The 24,326-nt window shown below is 39.9% G+C and overlaps 2 protein-coding genes across 40 annotated transcripts in view, besides 1 other annotated feature; one reads left to right on the top strand and one right to left on the bottom strand.

Annotated features, from left to right (window-relative positions):
• Positions 1–2,315: 2,315 nt before the first annotated feature.
• Positions 2,316–24,326, bottom strand: part of PDE3B (phosphodiesterase 3B) — a 255,518-nt gene continuing 233,507 nt past the window's right edge. The window contains exons 15-17 of one of the 6 annotated variants that reach the window (NR_190763.1): positions 15,645–15,831; positions 12,331–12,401; positions 2,316–2,681 (exon numbers count right to left, since the gene is read on the bottom strand). Coding sequence is in view for 2 of the 6 variants with exons in the window: in NM_001429699.1 (NP_001416628.1) it covers positions 2,517–2,681 (165 nt within the window). In the remaining 4 variants the exon portion in view is untranslated. Of the gene's footprint in view, positions 2,693–12,330; positions 12,402–12,812; positions 13,678–15,644; positions 15,832–24,326 lie in introns of those variants that run through there. The other 5 variants (NR_190764.1, NR_190766.1, NR_190765.1 and 2 more) reach the window with 5 other exon arrangements.
• Positions 9,194–24,197, top strand: CYP2R1 (cytochrome P450 family 2 subfamily R member 1). 34 transcript variants are annotated; one of them, NM_001400560.1, is made up of 7 exons: positions 9,966–10,888; positions 11,168–11,205; positions 13,808–14,007; positions 15,720–15,861; positions 20,869–21,501; positions 22,194–22,523; positions 23,340–24,197. In NM_001400560.1, exons 4-7 carry the CDS (start codon positions 15,840–15,842, stop codon positions 23,513–23,515), a joined length of 1,161 nt encoding a protein of 386 aa, NP_001387489.1. In that variant the 5' UTR covers positions 9,966–10,888; positions 11,168–11,205; positions 13,808–14,007; positions 15,720–15,839; the 3' UTR covers positions 23,516–24,197. The 34 variants fall into 34 exon arrangements, 22 of the variants coding, with proteins under 22 accessions (NP_001387487.1, NP_078790.2, XP_047282318.1 ...); NR_174521.1 differs by lacking the exon at positions 13,808–14,007 and having other exon boundaries at positions 9,966–10,737; positions 22,430–22,523; NR_174514.1 differs by lacking the exon at positions 13,808–14,007 and having other exon boundaries at positions 21,278–21,501; positions 22,430–22,523.
• Positions 9,659–9,898: a silencer, noted in NCBI's record as "silent region_3174". NCBI's record gives its function as "represses an Ori minimal core promoter by ATAC-STARR-seq in GM12878 lymphoblastoid cells {active_cell/tissue: GM12878}" and the evidence as "EXISTENCE:reporter gene assay evidence [ECO:0000049][PMID:35858748]".

The following is a 24,326-nucleotide window of genomic DNA, read 5'->3' as shown; positions in this document are numbered from 1 at the left end:
CCATTTTCAATTTTTAAAATCACAGTTTACTAAAGGCAGCTCCAGAACTCCATGTAAATGGACAGATACAGTATGTACGCTTTGAGATATACATTTTTTCACTTGGCATGTTTTTGAGATTCTTCCACATTGTTTCATGTACCAGCAGATTTTCCTCCCCCATTTTATTGTTTAGTAGTATTCCATTGCATGAATATACCCAGTTATTTATTGATTCTCCTGTTGATATATATCTGGGTTACGTCCAGTTTTTGGGTTTTCTGAATTAAGCTGCTGTGAATTTCAGAGATATTTTATTTTGCGTTTTTTATTATGAGTGAAGCTGTGCCTTTTCATGTTTGTTTACCCATTGTTAATTCCTCTTTAATGAATTCTGTATCTACTCATGGCATTTGTTTAATAATTTCTTTGATTTTCAAAGGTTGTCTTATATGTTTTTAAGAACTGTTTAAATAGTAAATGTATGGCTGGGCGCGGTGGCCACGCCTGTAATCCCAGCACTTTGGGAGGCCAAGGCAGGTGGATGACCTGAGGTCAGGAGTTCGAGACCAGCCTGGCCAACATGGTGAAACCGCATCTCTAATAAAAATACAAAAAATTAGCCGGGCATGGTAGCGGACACCTGTAATCCCAGCTACTCAGGAGGCTGAGGCAGGAGAATCACTTGAACCTGGGAAGCGGGGGTTGCAGTGAGCCGAGATCGCGCCATTGCACTCCAGCCTGGGCAACAAGAACAAAACCCCATCTCAAAAAAAATAAATAAATAAAAATAAATAGTAAATATATTACCTCCATAACTATCTTACTTGTAGTTTGGTATTTAACTATTTTCACAACTTTTATTTGGGCAGTAATGGCTAATTCTCAATATTTAATTAGAAGATAGAGGTTCTATTTTCTAATATATTTTGAAAAATTCTGAGCGGATTACTTATATAATATTTTTAACACATTTTTATTCTCTTCAGAAATTTAATACCACTATTGCCAGAATACACACCACATGCACACATACATACACACAAATCTTTACAAAGAAAACATAAGTGGTTTAAATTTGATTTTAAATTTATATGTAAGTTCTAGGATATTATTAGATTCATAGCTGAGAGCATATTATGAAGCTCTGAAATTGAATAATATGTCACATAGTCAAAATGCATTTTTTCAAAATTTTCATTTGCCCTAAGATAATAGTTACTGTAAAACTGTATTTCAGAGCTTAGGTTAAAATACTGCTTTTAGACCAATCCATGTGGAAGACAATATTTTTTAAAGCTTGGTCCTTTCTGTATCTTGGCACAGTTTAAAGATCTCTAATTAACTGGAGTGTTCCAAATTGTACAGAGATTATGGTTTTTGAAGGAGACAGCCAAAAGCCTTCTATTAAAGGGACTGCTATTAAGAGAGAACTTAAAAAGGAAATAAAGTGATTGCTAGCCTGCTGTGTATTCGGTTATTATCAGAGAGAACTGTATTACTTCTCTTTGTGGGTAGGGGGGGTGGGGGGCATCGAATCCAGGTAGCAGGGTACCAAAATGGGGATTCTGCTTAGTGATCTGGCAGTGATCTAATAATTCTGAATTTGGAAAACTACACCAAGGAAATTATTTCAGACACAGAGAATACTGTATGAAAGGGATGTTTATTATACCACTGTTTATGTAGCCTTACCACAAGCAAACCCAGGGAGATTTTAGTTTGACTATAAACCTAATTGTAAGATTGTGTTCTAAAGATATCAACACATAAGTATAATGAAAAGTACCCAAACTAAAACTGGAAACAAAACATTAGATATTTATGTTTTATTAATTGTTAAACTTGAATTCAGTAATAATATTCACCATAGACTTTTAACTAAAATATATTAGCCCACAGACTTCTCATATTCCTGCCATATTTGCTAAGACACCTGGTTCCCTAGGGCAATGAATGTACTCAAGAGAAAATATAGCCAGGTCTTTCTGCTTGGACCAGACTGATTTGTATGAAAGACATCATGACAGTATATAAATTATCCAAAGATACTGTGTGGGAAACTTCCAGTTTTGCAGGAGAAAAATATGTATTTCCCCACTTATTTCAGAGTAAATCATAGAAATTTTTAAATAACTAAATTCATTAAAGTAAAAGATATACTTACAACAGCAGAAAATTTCTCTACTCATTTTATTGTGTTGACAAATCTGCTTAAATAAATCAACCTGTTTTGCTTAAATTGGAACTCAAACATCTGCAAATTTACTTAGATTTGATCCCAAACCAGGTTCATTCTGCCTGTCATGCAGACAACCAATTACTGAAATGACAAGTTTTGCAGTAGAGAAAAAATTTATTCACAGGACAGCCAGGGAAGGAGACAGTAGAACAGCTCTCAAATCCAACTTCCTGAAGATAAGACTTAGGAATATTTATTCAATAAAGAAGCAGGGTGATAAAAAGCATGTGGAAAGGTAATTGGCAGTGCGAAAAAATGAGGTAATCATTGATCCAGCACTAAGCATAGTCAGGGTTCATGGCTCTTCACAGGTCACATGTTCAGAAAATGGCAGCATTAGCATGATCTGAGGCTGGAGTTTTGGGCCCTCTGACATCAAAAGGTCACTTTTCAGACATCTGTGCAGGCTCAGCCAGAGGGTCTCAACTGGCTTGAACTGGACAGGGGCTGCTGCAAGTTCCTGAAAGACATCTTAAGCAATCATTACCACAAAGACATATATGTCGGGGTATTATTTAAAATGAAGCTAGTGAAGGCTAAGTTATAGTGTTTAGTAGGGTGGCTTTCAGTTACGTGGATTAAAAAAAAAAGAAGCAAGCAACTTGATTTCAGGTTGAATGGTATTAGATATCCAATCTGAATAAGTTTATACTCACTCTCACACAGTTGAGACAGCCTTAAAAAAAGAAAAGAAAAGAAAAAGAGAAAAAAAGAAAGAGCATAGCCCCAGGAGTCAGTACACTGTGCTGTTTTTTTCGCCACCAGCTCAATGTGTAACCTTGAGTGAGTCATTTGTCCTCTCAGGACCTCAACTTCCACATCCGTATGTAAAATATAGCTTTTGGAAATCAAAATTTCTTCCAATTTTGAAATTCTATAAAGTTGCTGTAAATGTTGTGCCATGTGAACTCTACACTACTTTTCTATATCAGGTCACGCTATGACTTCCAGAAGTATAGCTAAGAGGTACAAGGATGTGTCATTGTGGTGTGAGGCATAATCAGGAAAATTACTGCCCCATCCCCTGGACAGCAGAAGTGTACAATTCCCAGAAGAGACAGGAAAAGGAGGTGAGGAGCACTATGCCCTTCAGACCAGTAGGGATTATTCCTTCTTCTTTAAAACAGGTTTGCATTGTGTCTGGGCCCTTGCTTCTCTGTGAACAAGTTCTCTGTGGATAACACCATGTGTTTCCGTAGACAAAAGCTTCCCAGTGTGGTTGTCCGATGAATCCACCGAGAGGCAAAACACATCTTCTGCTGGAGCCTACAAACTGGCTTGAAATATCCTCCCCAGAGGGCCCTCTAAGGAGGAGTCTTGATGGGAGAGACTATCCCAGGTAGACCCAGCCAATCATCCAGGATGGGTTCAGGTTCCATGATGTGTCTAACCACATATGAGGGTATTAAGGTTCAGGAAAAGAGTAATACAGGGATCCTATTCTCCAGAAGTCTAGAGCCTTTCTCGTTAAATGATAGATGAAAAAGAGAAAGCCCTGCAAGGTGAATGCTGAGCTAGGTGATAAGAAGCATAAACTGGAGGGGCTCACAGGTAGAGATGCATTATGGCCCAGAGCATTTGGATAAGGCTCTGCAACAGAGGCGGTCTGGAGCAGGCCTGAGGAGGGTGGGTTTGAGGATGGACAGAAATTAGAAAGCCGGGTATTCCTGTGAAAAGTCTGACTGACCATCTCCTGCAGGCCCAGAAAATGCTCTGTTTTCTCTCTGATGCTTAAAATGCCAGTCTCTAAAACCCCAGAGAAATAAACCTCTGTACCACCAACCATCTGCAAATGTCCCTTCTGAAGACCAGAAGATAATTTTCAAAGTTGTTGAAGAACATGATCTGAGTGTGATGACCCAAGATACAGTACCCAGATACAGGCCCAGGTTGTTCACTCTGAGAGGTGGACAACCTCCACAAATGACACTAAAGAATTTCTCAACTTATATTCCATAATGATTAAAAATTGTTTGGGGTTCAGACACAAAGACCAGATCACTCTCTTCTTGTTTCCTCTGAGGGCATTGACCTGTAAAACCAGGGAGAGAGGGGCCAGAGGCAACCCCACTAAACCTTCAAGCCAGGGCTAGGAGGCCTCCTTCATCATCATCAGGGTATTAGGGCTCCCAAAGAACATTTTCTAAATAATCAAAGTTAAATTATTCAAGTTCTAGGAATTTTTTTTCTGTTTTTGAAATGTAGCCAAATCTTTCAAAAATACATATACACTTCCTCTGCACTCTTAAATTAGAATGTTCTTAAATAATTTTAATCTTTGATAAGGATGTTCATTTAATGAGAACATGAATTAATGTGTTCTGTTGTCATACACATGATGCTCTCAGACTTTGAGATGTGTGGCACTGATATTCTCTACCCTAAATGATCTCAGACTCCTGTGCTTTTTAGTTTGTTACATCTATATTTGATAATTATTGTTTCCTTTTTCATTATCAGATTGTCAGATGTCTCCAGAATTGTTGCTGTGGCTATCTCTAACAACAATTCAATCTACTGTTAGTTTGCTTCTTCAAATCTACTATTTTCAGAAGCACAATATAAGAATGTTTATGAAAATCATTTGCAAAGCAGAAGAAGGCTTTAAATTAAGACTTAAATGTCTCTCTGAGTGATATTCACGAATTTTAAATAGAGGATTTTGTTACTTTCCTTTCCCTTCACTCAGTGTCCATATGAGACCAGTTGATAGGGAAGAATTGTAGTAACATCTTCCATGAACACGATCATGGGGGAGTCCCTGGATATAAGCTGGTTGTTTGGTGCAGACTACAATTACTGACCTCCAAGACTGATCACATTTCCTATGTTATGCACACTTGTAGAACTGTTTCTTTACTTCAGAAAACAAAAATGTTTGGCATCTTGAAAACATAGTAATGTTTGAAAATATAAATAATAAATTTACTTGTGATTATTTGACTGGTGTTGGCATCCCCCAATAGAATGTAAACCCCAGGAACACAGGGACCATGGCTGATTTTGCTCACCATTATATTCCCAGCATCTAATCTAGTAGGTGCCCAATACATTTGTGGTGAATGACTGAAAGAACACATGGCAAGTCCAGAGCCCAGAATTCTGGTTCTACTGGTGCTATCTTGTGTGACTTGGATAGAACACTAAACTTCCTCTGACTCTCTGTTACTGCATTTGGAAGAGGGTCTTCAACAAGATCATGAAGTGTTCATGCATTTCTATTTTTTTGAAACACAAGGAAAGGAATACAAGATATCATGACAGAAGATGGCCCAGTGGGTAGCTGGATGGGAGGAAGTGGCAAGGATTGGTTGGCTGAGTATCCCTAGGAAATGGCAGGAATAACTCCTGCTTCTGAGAAATGTGATTTCTCTAAGTTGATCTAGCCTTTGGAAAAATTGTGAAGGGAAAGAAGTTTCTCTGTAAAACTTCCTTTCCCCTTCTGCATCCTCTTCTGAAACCCCCACACCCACCACCATCATCATCATCACCATGCCACCACCTCCAATAAATCCATGTCATCATGTCCCTCATTCGGCCTTGCCTGTAAATGTGGGATTAAATTCATTCATGTATAAGCGTTTTTAGAACTTCCTATTGCTGTACTCTCCTGCCACCAGGTTTTGCATTTTCCAACTTAGCCTGTTATAGGGAATGTTCAATTAGTATCATTTAATTTGTAAAGACTGAACTTCAGGCAGTGGGGTGAGGAGGACTTTTTAAAGTGGTCACAGGGAGACTTTCATAAGGTTCCTAATCTCACCCAGAAGTGCTACTGGTCTGCCAGCCCCACCTCAGTGCCTGGCTCCTAAGAGCACAATGAAAATCCAAGTGCACGAATTCAGTTTCTACACATCATTTTGTAATCAAAGTCTTCATTTGGGTACCCTACCTCCCAGCATGAGGACTAGGATAAGGCAAGTGAGAAATTCACCTTGGGAACAGAATTTAAGAGGGCTCCAAGAAGATCAAAAGCAAGATAACACTTTAATGCAACAGTTTAAAATCAAAATTGAGGCAAAAACCCATTACGAACAAGACATCAAATTTTTAATAAGGCAGGATCACTATTATTGACTTTTTTCTTTTAGCTCAGCCTCCAGTATGGCTCAGCTTGGCACTTCCTTTGGCTCTCACTTCCTTCAATTCTGATGAAACACACTGAGAATGCACATAATGGAACATGCAAAGGAGGCACATTTGCGCTGATTGCATCACTCTGTGTGGGGAGCTCTCTGGGACAACTCCCACGGCCCAGGCCAGGGCTGCAGCCATTCAAGAACAGAAAGGGACCCCAGGAGAATCTCACTTGATACTGCCCCTCAGGATGAGCCCTGGAGCTTGGGTTCAGTTCCCAAAGGCCCAGAAAGAGGCTCTGATTCTGGCACAGCATTGCTGTTCTCTGTTAGAACCATTACTGTTCTGCACATAGAAATGGCAAAGCCCTATACAGTGTGTTCACCCATTCCACCCCGAGTACTGAAGATGAGATCTCAGCCATGAAACAGTGAAATACTTAACTTCCTGCTGCCCTAAACCTTCCTGTCATGATAAAAGCCATAGACAAACATTATTGATTGTTTTCTATCACTCAAAGAGCAAATGCAAGAAGGGGGAATAAGGGAGGGATTTCTCCTTATTGAGCTGAGGGAACATGATAAACTGTTACAGGGAAGGCTCTATGTCCTGAAAGACTTATAGTTATTCCTGAGAATACCCCACCTATTATCTCTCAAGGGGAGCTGTGGTGGGGTGGGGTGGGGAACATTTCATCAGTGCTGTCAGTCAGAAATGGCTGCCTCGGGGTAACTCAGCTCTCCTCTGCTATGTAGCCAGGGAAAGAATGCCAAAGAAGGAATGCTCCTTAATTTAAGTGAATTGGAGGATATTTTTGTAATGAAAATTAATCCTTTCTGAAAATAAATGATGGCAGGGGGCCCACTCCTGAACCAAGTACCTGTACTGTATAACAGCTGTGGCCAGACCAAAAACTGTAAGCCTCCTGGTGTTGCAAAGGCAGGGTTGATCTCAGGCATCCCATAGGTGATATTCCTCAGCTCCTGGTGCCTCAGCAGCATTGCCTCCCACCCACAGTCCCAATATCCATCCTGTGTCATCTCCACTGGCCTTTGGTAAGAAACTAGAGACCAAATTTAGTAATGATCTCTCACAATTATTTTTTCATTTTATTAGATTATTGATTAATAAGAATTTTAAGGTATCTCTTAATAGGCATTTGTAATAGGCAGTAGGTAGATATTCTGTGGCTGCAGATACTGTGACACATACCTGTGGGGGTAACTTCAGCCCCTGGGGATAGTCACAAGCCAGTTAAACAGAAAAACTCAAAGACCTGACTAACTTGCTGACTTCCGCAGTGTCCTTGCGTGGGAGATGGAGAGAAATTGGAAACACTCTCAGAGGACAAGGTTTGCTTAGTATATGAAGCCTTTGCCCTTGATATTTCCTCTGTTTGGAATATTTTCCCCCATATCTGCCTCAAATTTCTCTTCTATAGTAGGCAGAATAATGCTCCCCTCCCCCAATAGGTCCACATACTAATCCCTAGAACTGTGAATATGTTAGGTTTCATGGCAAGAAGAATTAAGGTTGCAGATGGAATTAAAGGGCTAATCAGCTGATCTTTGAGTTGGGATTATCCAGGTGGGCCCAATATAATCACAACGATCCTTATAAGTGGAAGAAGGAAGTAGAAGAGAGATAATCAGAGAGACAGCGATGTTGGAAGGATTCAAACTGACATTAATGGCCTTGAAGAGGAAGGAATGGGGACGAAAGCCAAGGAATGTGGGCAGCCTCTAGAAGCTGAAAAAGACAAGGAAATAGAATCTCTCCTACAGTCTCTAGAAAGAATGAAGCCCCACTAACACCTCTCTGTCAGCCCTGGAAGACTCATTTTGGACTTCTCACCTCAAGAATTGTAAGAAAATAAATTTGTGTGGTTTTAAGCCATCAGATTGGTGGTAATTTATTACAACAGTAGTAGGAAACAAATACACTTCTTTAGCAGTTGATCTCAGCTCCAATGTCATCTTCCTAATAAGACTTTCCTTGACAGCCCTTGCCTGCTAAAGTATCTCCCCAACCACCAGGCGTTTTCTATAACGCACTTTTTGTTTGCTTCTGATTATTGAAAATTATTGTATTTCCATGTCATTGCTCTTCCCTCTCATAAGAATGTAAGTTATAGAAAGGACTTTGTTGCTCTTATTCACCTATGTATCTCCATTGCTTAGGACATGGGAACATAGTAGACATTCAATAAATATTTGTTGTGTGAATGAGTCGTAAGCTAATGAGGACCATAAAACTCATGCCACTGCTAAATCACAATTAGAGGGCAGCTGTTAGAAGAGTCCCAAACCCAGTAAGTCCTGTATTGCAAGGAACTGCCCAATAGAAAACAGGAATAAAAACAATTAGCAAGAATAATATGAAATCAGTTGCTTAATTCCAGGCAGTGGAGGCAGAAATCTTGAATAGTAAATACTCTCCGTGAACAAGTGCAGACAAGAGTCCCGTGATTGCCAATAAGTAATCAGTTTGGAAAGACCAGAGAGGGGTCAAATATAGGTAAACTGAGTTAATCACATAAACTGCTCAATCATCACAATTATTAAAAGATCACACACAAAAATACATTAACAGGAGAAAAATAGTAAAACAGGACAAAACAGTAAAATTACTTTCTTTTACTACTGATGGGTCAATTTTCTACTGGAAATTCTGAAAAGTATCAGGTTCAGCTAAAGACTGCAGTGTTGATCATCTCTCCAGTTTTCCTAGTGTGAAATGAAATAAGCAGACCTGGTACTTAAAAAGACACTTTAAGAAAGGTCTGGCCCCAGAGAGGCAGGATCCGCCTAGCCCAGTGAGTGAGGCCGTCCTGACACCTCGTCAATGCCCTTGTGTCAACATTCTAGAAAACGGACTCCTGGCTCATTGCTCCGCCTAGAGCCGCGCCACCTCCAAAGGGTAGCACCGGCCACCCGCTCCGCAAAGTCCACTCTCAGCCGCGCAAAACTAGAAGGTAGTTGTCCCGAAGGGGCCTGAGCGCTCACTCAGTCAGCCAATGGCCACGGAGCTAGGGCGGGACCTGAGGGTATCCTGCCAATGGGAGTATGGCAGGGCTGGAGGGAGTGCCTGGGTCTCAGGGCTGCTGTGGAGTTCGCACCTCCAGCTCGGGCCGATGTGGAAGCTTTGGAGAGCTGAAGAGGGCGCGGCGGCGCTCGGCGGCGCGCTCTTCCTGCTGCTCTTCGCGCTAGGGGTCCGCCAGCTGCTGAAGCAGAGGCGGCCGATGGGCTTCCCCCCGGGGCCGCCGGGGCTGCCATTTATCGGCAACATCTATTCCCTGGCAGCCTCATCCGAGCTTCCCCATGTCTACATGAGAAAGCAGAGCCAGGTGTACGGAGAGGTACAGCCCCGACGGGCCCCGGGCAGGGAGGGCCGCCAGGCTGGCCCGGGCTGGCCAGGGCCTTCCTGGTTGGACTTATGGCCGCCCCTGGGCCGACTAGTCGGGACCTCTCCGTGTGCCGGCTGCCCTTTGAGGGACACCCGCTTCCCGGGTCTGGAAGGGAGAAGTCCTCGACGCCGTGCCCCCTTGCAGGGGGAGCCCCGCCCCTGCCGGTGACCCACTCCGGGCCGAGGCTCCGAGGCGATCCAGTCCTGATTTTCCCGCTACCGCTCGAGCTCTTGCTCCTGCGCCTGCGCCGTTTGGCTCGCCAGCCGCGCCGCCACTTCAGGTCCAGGGTGGACGCATGCCCTCAGGTGCGGGCGTCTTGCGAGTCGGCCTCGCAGCTCTGTGGAAGCTGCACGCGGCTTGTCGGAAAATCAAGGCGTTCTGAGTTCTAGATGGTTAATAGCAGGTTCTTCGGTGTCTGCAGTCGACGAACGACTGGTGTAGGCGTTTGCTGTGAGAATGGAGAATGCAGGGGAACGCCCCTGACTGAGAAGCGGGCCCTGGGAAACGATTGTGAACGCGTGAATGAATTGATGACTAAAATCCGCTGCGGGGGTCCTACAGCGCAGATGGTAATGCCGTTCTGACTGGCTGGGAACGGCACCTTAGCAGATACTTAAAAGGCGCCTTCTGTGTGCCACTGTCACTGCCAACTTGGTGACTCATTTAAAACTCATAACCAGCCGGTGAGGTCGGTACTTCGCTCCTCCTCATTCTGCGGAGGGGAAAGCAGCACGGAAATGCCCTGTGACTGGCAGCGGAAAAGGCGACCACCGCTTGTGTGTGGGTGTCCCGACGTCCGGAGGGGGCAGGAGTTTCCACGGGTCCTGGGACAGAGCTCACCTGTTTTGTTTTGAATTACACTTATTTATATGCAACTACAGGCCTGACGCTAGCGGTGAAGAAGGCAGATACAGCCTTTTAAGGAGTTGGCAGATGAGTGGGAGAGAGAAAACTAATCTCATTATCGGCCACAGGCTGTGGTCAGTGTTTTGAAGGAAAAGTACAGGGATGTTTGGCAACTGTGGTATTTCAGGTTTGACCTTAAATCCTTACTTAAACCAATTTTTACAAGGATTGGTCTAGGTGCCCGGGCGCGGTGGCTCACGCCTATAATCCCAGCACTTTAGGAGGCCGAGGCGGGCGGATCACGAAATCAGGAGATCGAGACCGTCGTGGCTAACACGGTGAAACCCCATCTCTACTAAAAGAATACAAAAAATTAGCCGGGCGTGGTGGCGGGCACCTGTAGTCCCAGCTATTCGGGAGGCTGAGGCAGGAGAATGGCGTGAACCCGGGAGGCGGAGCTTTCAGTGAGCCGAGATCGCGCCACTGCACTCCAGCCTGGGCAACAGAGCCAGACTCCGTCTCAAAAAAAAAAAAAAAAAAAAAAAAAAAGAATTGGTCTAGGTTTCTAGAATAGAAAGTCACTAATGGTTTACGTTCCTTTCATGGTTCACGAATAGTTTACGTTGTTAAAGGGAAGCTGGACGAGATAATAAAGGTATGTATAATTCTTAGATCTTATTTTCCAACCTGCAATTCTCCCAGAATTGAGTTTATTCCCATGATTTTCATGTAATATATTTCATCTCTTTGGTATCTTGGTACACAGCATCATAATATTCTAGAGAAATAAAATGTGAAAGCATAAGACTAGAGGTCAGGTCTTCTGCCAGACAAAACTTGACCTCTATTCTGAGTCTTTTTTTTTTCTCGGTAGTGAGAATAACAACAGAAAACAGAAAAGTGCTACTCAAGTGTTCTTGGTTATTGTGTATGTTATTAGTTTCTTTCTTTTTTTATTTGAGACGAGTCTTGCTCTGTCACCCAGGCTGGAGTGCAGTGACGCCATCTCGGCTCACTGAAAGCTCCGCCTCCCGAGTTCACGCCATTCTCCTGCCTCAGCCTCCCGAGTAGCTGGGACCACAGGTGCTCGCCACCACGCCCGGCTAATTTTTTGTAATTTTTAGTAGAGATGGGCATTCACTCGGTTAGGCAGGATGGTCTCGATCTCCTGACCTCGTGATCTGCCCGCCTCGGCCTCCCAAAGTGCTGGGATTACAGGTGTGAGCCACTGCGCCCGGCCTATGTTATTAGTTTCTATACACAGAACACATTTGTTCGACCTCCAAATTTGAAAGTATTTTTAAACAAGTTATTTGAAATGGTTTCTCACAGAAAAAGGAATTAAGCTTTTCTTATATAAATATTTGAACTGAAAGACACTCGGTATTACTATGAATATTTCTTTTGGGCAGGGGGTTTTCTAAGTCCCCTATCATAGTTTTATTGCTGGTACCACTGTTTGAGGGAACCATGGTTCTTTACAGAGAGAGCTCTTGACTACAAATGAAATAGGGCCAAACTGTTACTAGCTGCAATGGGGCAGAGGAAAAACTGAAAGGAGCAAAAATGAAAAAGAATGTATGCATCAAAGAGTAGACATTGTTTGCCTCACTATGCCTTAGATCTAGTTGATAACCACCAAACATATTAACTCTAGGCTACAGCGGCATTTGATCTTTATCCTGGTATGAAACATCTCTAAAGATCTCCCATTATCTTAGAGATATTTTCCAATTCTGACAAAGTCTCAAAGTTGGCATAAATTGTTAAAATACTATACCTTTTTTTGGAGGTTGAAGAATATTGTTCCCTCCTGTGCTTCCAAAAAGTTCTGGAAAGTTGTACCTAGGACTTAAATAAAATCTTAGTTTTCCACTGTCTTTTAAATTTGAGATGTATGCTCACAGAAAAAAAAAAAAAAACAACTGGACTTTAAAATTGCTTAGGACAGTCACTTCAAGTGACACCCGCCTTTGTGTTAGTCTGTGAATTCAATTCTGCTTTGTGATTCTTGAAAGTTAAACAGCCAGTCCTCAGGACTTATATATTCATTTTAAAGGCAATCTTAAATAGAAGTGTATCACACTGAAAATTACCATTTCCTTGGAGATTGATTCTGAATGTTTAAATTTCTGCAGTAACTTTAATCTTAGTCTAGATTTCAAGAGGCATTCCCTGGCTAGGAAAGCCAATACAAGTGGCTTTATCGATTATTTTCAGGTAATGGACTTCAGGACAATAAAATAATTCCATTAAAGCAAGTAGAATTGACAGCGTATTAATTTATTTTTACAGCATTTATTGAGAACTTTATGCACAGCACTGAATGAGATTCTGTGTAAGGATTCAAAGATGAAAAAGATGAAATCACTGCTCCTAAGGAGTTTGTAATTTAGCATGCAGGCAGAAGACAAGAATATGAATGTTTCTGGTTCAAGATAGTGTTAAATAAGTGCCATGGGAGCTTCTAAGCTCCCATGTGTGGTTCAAAGCAGAGAGAAAAAGAGTGCCCCAAGAAAGGCATCATGGAGGATGGTCCCTAAAGACTTGGTATGGTTAGGGTAGTATGGCAGTCAAAGGAAGCCTTCCAAATGAGGAAACAAACCAAGCAAAGGTTGAAAAGTGTGGCAGTCACTTAATGGTTTTCATCAACAGCACTTTGCACATTTGTCTGTTATTAGCATTTAGCCCATGATGTTATAATAATATGTTTAAATGTATGTCTCTATGACTATTCATTAATTCAACATATATTTCTATTGTCATATGCTGTGCACTGTCCTAGGTGCTAGAGATATAGCAGTGACCAAAACAGATTCCTGCCCTTATGTAGCTTATATTCTAGTTGGGGGAAGACAGACAATATAAACACAAGTAAATTATATAATATATTCAAAGAGTACAGAGTAGGAAGTAAACTAAATTAGGGTAAGGGAATGGAGAATGTTAGTGGGTCAGATTTTAAATTGCTTAATCAGAACAGGTCTCACCACAAAGATAGCATCTGAACAAAGACAAAGGAAATGAAGGAGCAAGCTATAGGAATATCAAAAGGAAGAACATTCTAGACTAAGAAAAGAGCAAGAACAAAGGCCATAAAGCAAGAGAATGCCACGTTGAGAATTACCTGTAAAAAGACAAGGATGAAATTAGGGAGGCCAGTTAGGAGGTTGTTGTTATAAGGGAGAAATGCAGGTGACTTAGACCGGTCACCTGCAGGTTATAATAAATTGTCTGATTCTGTTTATATTCTGAAGGTAGAAACAGCATAACTGCTGAGCAGTTGGATGTGGAGTTTGGAAGAAGATAATGAGTCAGTGTGGGTGACTGCAAAGTCCTGGGCCTCAACCACTTGAAGGATGTATGGAGTGGTCATTAACTGGGAGAGTGAAAAATTATGAGTAGGGCTGGTTTGGGTGAGGGAAAGAGACTTGAAGATCATGGAGTGATCTAGAAGGCAAGGAAAATGTTTTGTGTATTCCTGTTTACATCTCTGCCAGCATTATAATTAGCCCATAATTGGCACTAAAATTATTGAATAAATCAAAGAATATATAAGCTAATCTTGTACCCTTCCATAGATCAAAGCAGTTTAAGGATAAGTTTTCACAATTTGAGTCACACACCTTTACCAAAAGTCCTTGAAAACTGTATACAGGAATACATACTAGTTCAAGTAAAAATTTCTCCAGTTCTACCCTCAAATAGAGGACTATTTCAGATTCTTGAGTAAAGGTGGATTGTGTAACAACTTTCTCAAGCCATGGCTCCTCCTTGCTTTTTATGATCCCTGGTGTCCACAATTTGAAGCTCTACCCTGAAGCTCTATCCTGAAATACATTTGCCCTCTGTTCTGCCTTCATAGTGACACAACTTTAAGTTCATGGCTCTTTTACTATCCTTGTGGAATGGCATCTTTTTATTGTCTCTGCTAAAGTTCCCTTCTGCGAAGAGACTTTCCTTTAATAGGACTACATTACTGCATTGTCCCCACTTTGCTCGGCTGGTAGCCATTCCCTTTTACTTAGAACTCTTCTACTGTCACTTTTGACTAATACCACTGCTTATGGCAGGCAGTCCATGTTCTTTTCCCAAGGTTCTGGATATACCTAGTGCTCACTTGGCAGAGCCCACCCGTGTGCCAAAGACTCTGGTGGCCCCATTACTCAGCTGGTTAGTTGTTACCACTTGGCAGTCCTCATGACCTTTGCTGATATAACTTTCTGCTGAACTTTTGTTCTCTGCTAAGCCTCCTGTTTTCTTCTGAAGTAGTGTGTACCATGGCTAAATCTCCTTGACTTGTTTGCACAGGGATAAGGCTTGTCTCAGTATTTTGGCTGTAAAATGCTATCCTGAAAGGATGGCAATAAGCAATCTTTACATTCCACTGATAAGGGAATATCGTTCTCTCACTGACTGGCCTCTTATATTGGGTTAACTAGAATAGACTACAGGAGGTGTGACATTGTAAGTGAACCTGGGGTGAGGCACAGGGCAGACAACTCCAGCAAGGCATGGAATGGATCCTGTTTTGCCTTCCCCTTAACTGAGAGGCAGCCACCTAACCTATGTGGTAAATGCCTTTCCTCCAAGGTTAGGTTCCCTTAGAGCCCTCTTCATTCACTTTGTGGAATACAGAGAGCCAAATACAAATGGGCTTAGTTACAATATGTTTATACTTCAAAGTTGTCTCTCAGGTATTTGACAATCCTCTCCCTCACTAGCCTCATTCATCTTGGAAATAGAAGGAGATTCCTAGATATCATTGAACATTTTGAGGTAAAATGAATCATAAAAGAGCATATATATCAAATATATTTTCTATGGCAATACTGAAGCCCAGATAGGTTAAGTGTTCTGCTCAGAGTCTTTTATCTGTTTAATGGCAAACCTTAAACTAGACCCAGGCCTCCCGAGTCCAGTACCCTTTTCATTATACTGTTGGTAAGACTGTGACTTTAGGCACTGAATGGCATAATGAAATCACACAGTTTTGCATGCCTTATAGAAGGAGGGCACTCTGAACATTGTCAGTTGAGTAATAACTGCCTATATTTTCAGGGACGTAACAAATCCTGGAAGAGCCGCACTTACCACTTGTAGATTTCCATGGTTATATTTCTCCATACATGCTGTCATTTAAATGTTGTTTTTCTTCTCTTCTCAAAGATCTTCAGTTTAGATCTTGGAGGCATATCAACTGTGGTTCTAAATGGCTATGATGTAGTAAAGGAATGCCTTGTTCATCAAAGCGAAATTTTTGCAGACAGACCATGCCTTCCTTTATTCATGAAGATGACAAAAATGGGAGGTATGTTTATTTGCACCTATTTAGTGATTTACTAAGATATTTTAAATCACATTCCTTATTTTAAGTTTTAGTGCATACAGTTGGGATTATTTTATACTGATTAATAAGAAACTATTTATTTACAGAACCTAGTATTTGAGGACCTTTCAGGCTGTACTACACGCATATTTTAGACCAGTACATTGCTAATTCTATTGTGGTCCAGCTCTAATAAGTATTATAAATAATGTTTTAAAGAATCAACACCTAATAACATCTGCAGGTTTTGTGAAACAAGTTAGGAATAAACACATACTTCCACTTGAATCCGAAGTGCCCTTTTGAACCTAGTCTTGAGTACTTGGTGACATTTTTACTATCATTTTACTTATAAGCTTACAGAACTTGAAGCAGCTTTTTTGACTACTAATCACTGTGATTAGTAAGTATAGAGTTGCATGGTTTGTGTAAAGGACTAGCATTCTGTATGGTTTAGTATTGATCAGTGTTGGGGATTCCATATTCAACAAGGGGGAAAGACTGAAAGTTGACAAAATCGGTAAGAAGAAAGCAGCAACAGACAGCCTAAAATAGAATGTTCAGATCACATACAGTGGTTTTAATAGTTAATAGTATAAGAATTTTTACTAAAGTTGTGTCCTAAATTCTCTGAGTTTCACATTTAATTTCAAATAAAAATTTAACAATATCTTGCTTACATAGGCAAAAACTAAAGACATTGGTTGAAAAGGCAAAAATTAAAATCCTATATTACATCACAAAGGAAATGAACTAATGCAGAGAAAGCACAAATTGTAAAAGACTGAATTCTCAGGCCAGAGTATAATGATACTTGAAAGCAGTAATATAAATAAAAAACAAACAATTAGACCAAAGAAGCAGCCACAATTATAATAGACCTTTAAAAAGATGATGAAAATGAAAGATGATGCAATCACAGTAATATTTGAGAAAAGTATATATTTTTCAAAGCTGTAAATTTATTGTTTAGACTGTTTTTATCATAAAGCATTCAACTTAAGATTTTTAAAAACCAGGTAGAAAATTATGTGTTTTTTTATTTCTTTTTTTAATTTTTATTTTTTTAAATTATTATTATACTTTAAGTTTTAGGGTACAGGTGCACAATTTGCAGGTTAGTTACATATGTATACATGTGCCATGCTGGTATGCTGCACCCATTAACTCGTCATTTAGCATTAGGTATATCTCCTAATGCTATCCCTCCCCCTCCCCCCACCCCACAACAGTCCCCAGAGTGTGATGTTCCCCTTCCTGTGTCCATGTGTTCTCATTGTTCAGTTCCCACCTATGAGTGAGAATATGCGGTGTTTGGTTTTTTGTTCTTGCGATAGTTTACTGAGAATGATGATTTCCAATTTCATCCATGTCCCTAACAAAGGACATGAACTCATTATTTTTTATGGCTGCATAGTATTCCATGGTGTATATGTGCCACATTTTCTTCATCCAGTCTATCATTTTTGGACCTTTGGGTTGGTTCCAAGTCTTTGCTATTGTGAATAGTGCCGCAATAAACATATGTGTGCATGTGTCTTTATAGCAGCATGATTTATAGTCCTTTGGGTATATACCCAGTAATGGGATGGCAGGGTCAAATGGTATTTCTAGTTCTAGATCCCTGAGGAATCGCCACACTGACTTCCACAATGGTTGAACTAGTTTACAGTCCCACCAACAGTGTAAAAGTATTCCTAATTCTCCACATCCTCTCCAGCACCTGTTGTTTCCTGACTTTTTAATGATTGCCATTCTAACTGGTGTGAGATGGTATCTCATTATGGTTTTGATTTGCATTTCTCTGATGGCCAGTGATGGTGAGCATTTTTTCATGTGTTTTTTGGCTGCATAAATGTCTTCTTTTGAGAAGTGTCTGTTCATGTCCTTCGCCCACTTGTTGATGGGGTTGTTTTTTTCTTGTAAATTTGTTTGAGTTCATTGTAGACTCTGGATATTAGCCCTTTGTCAGATGAGTAGGTTGCAAAAATTTTCTCCCATTTTGTAGGTTGCCTGTTCACTCTGATGGTAGTTTCTTTTGCTGTGCAGAAGCTCTTGAGTTTAATTAGATCCCATTTGTCAATTTTGTCTTTTGTTGCCATTGCTTTTGGTGTTTTAGACATGAAGTCCTTGCCCATGCCTATCTCCTGAATGGTAATGCCTAGGTTTTCTTCTAGGGTTTTTATGGTTTTAGGTCTAACGTTTAAGTCTTTAATCCATCTTGAATTAATTTTTGTATAAGGTGTAAGGAAGGGATCCAGTTTCAGCTTTCTACATATGGCTAGCCAGTTTTCCCAGCACCATTTATTAAATAGGGAATCTTTTCCCCATTGCTTATTTTTCTCAGGTTCGTCAAAGATCAGATAGTTGTAGATATGCGGCATTATTTCTGAGGGCTCTGTTCTGTTCCATTGATCTATATCTCTGTTTTGGTACCAGTACCATGCTGTTTTGGTTAGTGTAGCCTTGTAGTATAGTTTGAAGTCAGGTAGCGTGATGCCTCCAGCTTTGTTCTTTTGGCTTAGGATTGACTTGGCGATGCAGGCTCTTTTTTGGTTCCATATGAACTTTAAAGTAGTTTTTTCCAATTCTGTGAAGAAAGTCATTGGTAGCTTGATGGGGATGGCATTGAATCTATAAATTACCTTGGGCAGTATGGCCATTTTCATGATATTGATTCCTCCTACCCATGAGCATGGAATGTTCTTCCATTTGTTTGTTTCCTCTTTTATTTCATTGAGCAGTGGTTTGTAGTTCTCCTTGAAGAGGTCCTTCACATCCCTTGTAAGTTGGATTCCTAGGTATTTTATTCTCTTTGAAGCAATTGTGAATGGGAGTTCACTCATGATTTGGCTCTGTGTTTGTCTGTTATTGGTGTATAAGAATGCTTGTGATTTTTGTACATTGGTTTTGTATCCTGAGAATTTGCTGAAGTTGCTTATCAGCTTAAGGAGATTTTGGGCTGAGACAGTGGGGTTTTCTCGTTATACAATCATGTCATCTGCAAACAGAGACAATTTGACTTCCTCTTTTCCTAATTGAATACCCTTTATTTCCTTCTCCTGCCTAATTGCCCTGGCCAGAACTTCCAACACTATGTTGATATGTGTTGTTTTAAGGTACTATGTACTGACCTTGGAAGTAGAAAATCATGGCCACTATTAGCCCACTGTGTGAATGGGAAAAAGTTGCCCTTTGGGTGAGCCCAGTGTCATGCCCAGGCACACAGCTTGGCCAGTGTAGGGTTTTTATAAACAGTGCTCCTCTGTACCTTCTTGTGTATATATCCCATGTGCACATATTTCTCTAGGGCTGGTTTCATCTTGGCACCATTGCACTAGCTGTTACCTCTAACTGCAGTGGTCTTTCCTCAGGTATTTGCTTGTCTCACTTCCTCATCTCCTATGAATGTTTACTCAGATGTCATCTTCTCAGTGAGCATTTTGCTGACTACCCTATATCTTTTTACGTGCTGTATAATTTATTTGTTGTTTTGTCTGTCTTTCCTACTAGTGTCTAAGCTCTGTGAGAGCAGGGACCTTTGCTTCTTTTGTTCCCTGATACATTCCTGACACTTAGAACATTGCCTGGAACATAGTAGGTGTTCCACAAATACATGTTAAATGAATATTTGTTGAATGAATAGTCATCTGGGAGTATAGAAAAAAGAATGGACTATGGGAATGTAAGATTGCTACACAGCACTAATGACCCCCTTACAGTAACTTTTTAATAAGTTCTACATTCAAAAATTATTGCACAATAAGTTGTTGGAATGTAAATTTTGTGTGTACCTCATGTACACAAGAGAATGTGACATTTTTCATTGTGGGTTGTGTTAGTCCATTTTGTATTGCTATAAAGAAATACCCGAGGCTGGGTAACCTATAAAGAAAAGAGGTTTAATTGGCTCATGGTTCTGCACACTTTATAGGAAGCATGGTGCTGGCATCTGCTTCTGTTGAGGCCATCTGCTTCTACTGAAGCTCACAATCATGGCAGAAGGCATTGAGGAAAGCCAGCATGTCATATGGCAAGAGTGGTAGCAACAGAGCAAGTAGGGAGAGGTCCTTAACTTTTAAACAACCAGATCTCACATTAACTGAGCGAGAACTCACTTATCACCAAGGGGATGTTGTAAGACCATTCATAAGGGATCTTCCCCTATGATCCAATCAGTTCCCACCATGCCCCACCTCCAACATTGGGAATCACTTATCAATGTGAAATTTATCAGAGGTACAACCGTGTCCCAGTAATGAGTGAAATTTTGAGTAAAGTACATGTTACATAAATATGTGCACTGAAGATGTTGAATTAATTTAAGGGAGAAAATTTCAATAGTAGCAACATCAAAACAGCAGATACATTGTGGAGACTCTGAAATTTTAAGGCAGGCAATATCAGCATTAGAAAAGTTTGAGCTTCATGTTTGCCCTTTTTTTGACTTCAGCATTTCGACTATATTGACAGCTCATTCAGAGTACCCTTACCCCTGTCATAGTTACTTGATTGTCTACCATATCCCTTTAATGGGAGGAAATTTATTTTCTAAAATCCATTCTCTTTTAAGCAGAAAATTTCTAATCCTAGAAGGATGATTTTTTAGGTGTTTGTTTAGTCTAAGATAAAACTTTGTCCATTGAACATGTGGTCATTTGTCTTTGGTAAATTAGGCTTATAGTAAAAGTTGGATAATATAGTCACCTGGGCCTATTTCACCAGGTTAAATTACACAGGACTGACTAGCTTCTTGTGGTGGTGCAATTATAGGCCTTTTCTGCCAGTCCACAGATAAGGAGTAGAAAAACTTTATCTGTTATAATACTCTGGCTAATGAGTTGCTGAGAACAGGACCCAACCATGTAGTTATATAGGAGGACAATTTGGAGAAGGATGACTAACCATCCATTAAAAAAATTTTGTTCCCTTTCATTTTTTAGATACAGAGAAGTAGGAATTATACAATATTTTAATATTTTTTTTCAGGCTTACTCAATTCCAGATATGGCCGAGGATGGGTTGATCACAGACGATTAGCTGTAAACAGTTTTCGATATTTTGGATATGGCCAAAAGTCTTTTGAATCTAAAATCTTGGAAGAAACCAAATTTTTCAATGATGCTATTGAAACATACAAAGGTAGACCTTTTGACTTTAAACAGTTAATAACGAATGCTGTTTCAAACATAACCAATCTGATCATTTTTGGAGAACGATTCACTTATGAAGACACCGATTTTCAGCACATGATTGAGTTATTTAGTGAAAATGTGGAACTAGCTGCCAGTGCCTCAGTCTTCTTGTATAATGCCTTTCCATGGATTGGCATCCTGCCTTTTGGAAAACATCAACAGCTGTTTAGAAATGCAGCTGTAGTCTATGATTTTCTCTCCAGACTCATTGAAAAAGCTTCAGTCAACAGAAAGCCTCAGCTACCTCAGCATTTTGTTGATGCTTATTTAGATGAGATGGATCAAGGTAAAAATGACCCATCATCTACTTTCTCCAAAGAAAACCTAATTTTCTCAGTGGGTGAACTCATCATTGCTGGAACTGAAACTACAACCAATGTGCTACGGTGGGCGATTCTTTTCATGGCCCTTTATCCTAATATTCAAGGTGAGGATTCTCTTGATGATCTCAGGGTCTATCCTTACATGTAGGGTTCATACATGTTTTTGAGTCTTGGCCATGCACAATACATTTTCTTTAGGAACTCCTGCGATGCCAGCCAAGTATAGAAATATTTAATAGTTACAAAAAAGAGTTTTCAAATCTATTATCTCAATTCATGTAAAAAAAATCTCTGAAAGAGGTCTTATTATGCCCATTTTATAAATGAGAAAAAACACTGTGTGTCTGCAAGTGGCAGAGCTGGAATCTGAACTCTGATAGAATTTTAAAAACTAATTTTATGCTTTACTATTTTTCTTACTCCAATTCTAGGTATGTTTAATGTTTATTCTTATTACTTATGTCTTTCACAATAGAGCTACCCAGAGCACTGGCTACTGTTAGAACAAGATATATAGCATATATTTCAATAGAACGCCCAGATAATAAAAAATCTGAATCTGGATGTATCTATATCCTATTGGCTTGTTATAGGTTATCAGAGCACTGGCTACTGTTAGTACAAGATATATAGCATATATTTCAATAGAACGCCCAGATAATAAAAAATCTGAATCTGGATGTATCTATATCCTATTGGCTTGTTATAGGTTATCCTTTATTTTATTCCAGAGGGAAATAACTTTAGGTATAATTCTAAGAACTGCATAATAACTTGAATACTTTTTCTCTGACAGGACAAGTTCAGAAAGAGATTGATTTAATTATGGGCCCTAATGGGAAGCCTTCTTGGGACGACAAATGCAAAATGCCTTATACTGAGGCAGTTTTGCATGAAGTTTTAAGATTCTGTAATATAGTTCCATTAGGGATTTTCCATGCAACCTCTGAAGATGCAGTTGTACGTGGTTATTCCATTCCTAAAGGCACAACAGTAATTACAAATCTTTATTCTGTACACTTTGATGAAAAGTACTGGAGAGACCCAGAAGTGTTCCATCCTGAGCGATTTCTGGACAGCAGTGGATATTTTGCCAAGAAGGAAGCTTTGGTTCCTTTTTCCCTAGGTAAGAGAACTTTCACGGGGCGTAACTTTAGAATAAAGGATAATGATAATTCATTAGATACAGCATCTTAATCTGAAGCATCCTTCTATAGAATTAAATATCCCAATTCTAAAAACACAGAACTGATTCTAACAGGAGAGAATGATTAAATTGGAAGTAATTAACATCTGTTTCGGCTTAATATAAGCCTTAATTTATTAACTATAGATGAACTTTTGAGAACCCCTGGCTTCTTCTAAATCTGTTTTTCAAAACTTGTGGAATGAGAATTCAGTAACAGGTAGCTTGAGAAACTGAGACCCAGAGAGGGAAAAGATATAGTCACTTAAGTAAAACTAGAATCTCACTCTCTTGGCTTCTGGTTATTGTACTTCATCTTCAATTAGGAAAATATTGCTTCTTCTGTGAAAAGGTACACAAGACCCATGGAAGATGGACTAGAAACTCTTCCCCTTCACTGGAGAAGAATACACACTTAGTTGAAATGAAGTGGACTGTTCTTGAGCAAAATGTCTCACCTCAAATTAGATCTTTTGTGGCATATCTTAGGCTCTGTTGCAGCATAGGAGGGAAGTGGGAGATGGAACTAAAGTCTTACAAAAGTCCGTGGTCTAACAAAAGGAGGTAAATGAATGGGTTCTGCTTGCTGAAGTGTCAATTTCTATTCTTTGAGATTTAAGAAAATCCTTTAATAAACATAGTTCCCTCTTTCTTTGTTTAAATTCCAGATTTCCTGAATGACATCCAAATATTAGACATTAATTTTGGTAAAGATTGTGGGTTTAAAAAATTATTGTATCTGCTTTTTCTGTTTAGGAAGAAGACATTGTCTTGGAGAACACTTGGCTCGGATGGAAATGTTCTTGTTTTTTACAGCATTGCTTCAGAGGTTTCATTTGCATTTTCCACATGAACTAGTTCCAGATCTGAAGCCCAGGTTAGGCATGACATTGCAGCCCCAACCCTACCTCATCTGTGCTGAAAGACGCTGAAACTGCCTGGGATGTTTTCGGGAACAAGAATGTATATTTGCCTTATCCCTGAACTTGGTTTAATCAAATCAATGTGTGTATTAGAATAAAAGTCACAGCATCAAAAAGCCAAATGAACACAGATGTGTCTTAAAATAGTACTAGAGCAGAAACAAGCACTAGTCGTGATTGTTTTTCAAGATTTTATGACTTCTGGGGTAAAATTCTCTGTTGAGAGACACAAAGGTGCAAATGATGGGTGTTGCTTAAAATGCTAAGAAGGGTCATGGACGCCCTAAGCTGAGCATCTTGTTTAGTACCAGGTACTTTCATCCCTTCTTGACTCCATCTGCCTTCTGTCCTGGGGGGCCTTGGTTCCAGAAACCAGCTCCCTTCTGATCAGGTATTGTCATTAATAAACTGTGTGGTACCAGTCCAGTTTAATAGAGGACTACAGAAGAAATTAAAACACAAATAAATGAGTTAGGACTATAGAGGTATTTTAGATATGGTGGGAGATGGTAGAAGAAATATGTATTTAATGTAGAGCCTGCCAGTGCTTTCATATCTTGCTTCCTGCTCTGTCTTCATAAGAACTGTGTCATTCTTCTTATAAATGAGGGTCTGTGTGACCCTGAGTGTCCATCTTCATAGCAGTTAAGTAGATAGGACATTACAATAATATATTTAAAATTTAAAATGATAAATGGCTATTGAATCTTTGTTGGCACATTTTCCCTGGCACCACTTCTTTCTAAAACCAATCACAAGGATTAAAGATCGAATTCACTTATATCTTTTAGAGGTCTCTAGGCATTTCCATGGGTTAGTG

This window comes from Homo sapiens, chromosome 11 (assembly GCF_000001405.40).
Source record: "Homo sapiens chromosome 11, GRCh38.p14 Primary Assembly".
NCBI classification, from domain to species: Eukaryota; Metazoa; Chordata; class Mammalia; order Primates; family Hominidae; genus Homo; species Homo sapiens.
This window is presented reverse-complemented; position numbering and strand designations above follow the sequence as displayed.

Excerpts from the sequence above, each read along its gene's own strand:
- CYP2R1 (NM_024514.5), top strand. The coding sequence starts at position 9,432 with ATGTGGAAGCTTTGGAGAGCTGAAGAGGGCGCGGCGGCGCTCGGCGGC. Across the intron at positions 9,657-15,719 it reads AGAGCCAGGTGTACGGAGAG|ATCTTCAGTTTAGATCTTGG; the intron begins GTACAGCCCCGA and ends CTCTTCTCAAAG. Across the intron at positions 21,502-22,193 it reads CCTTTATCCTAATATTCAAG|GACAAGTTCAGAAAGAGATT; the intron begins GTGAGGATTCTC and ends TTTCTCTGACAG.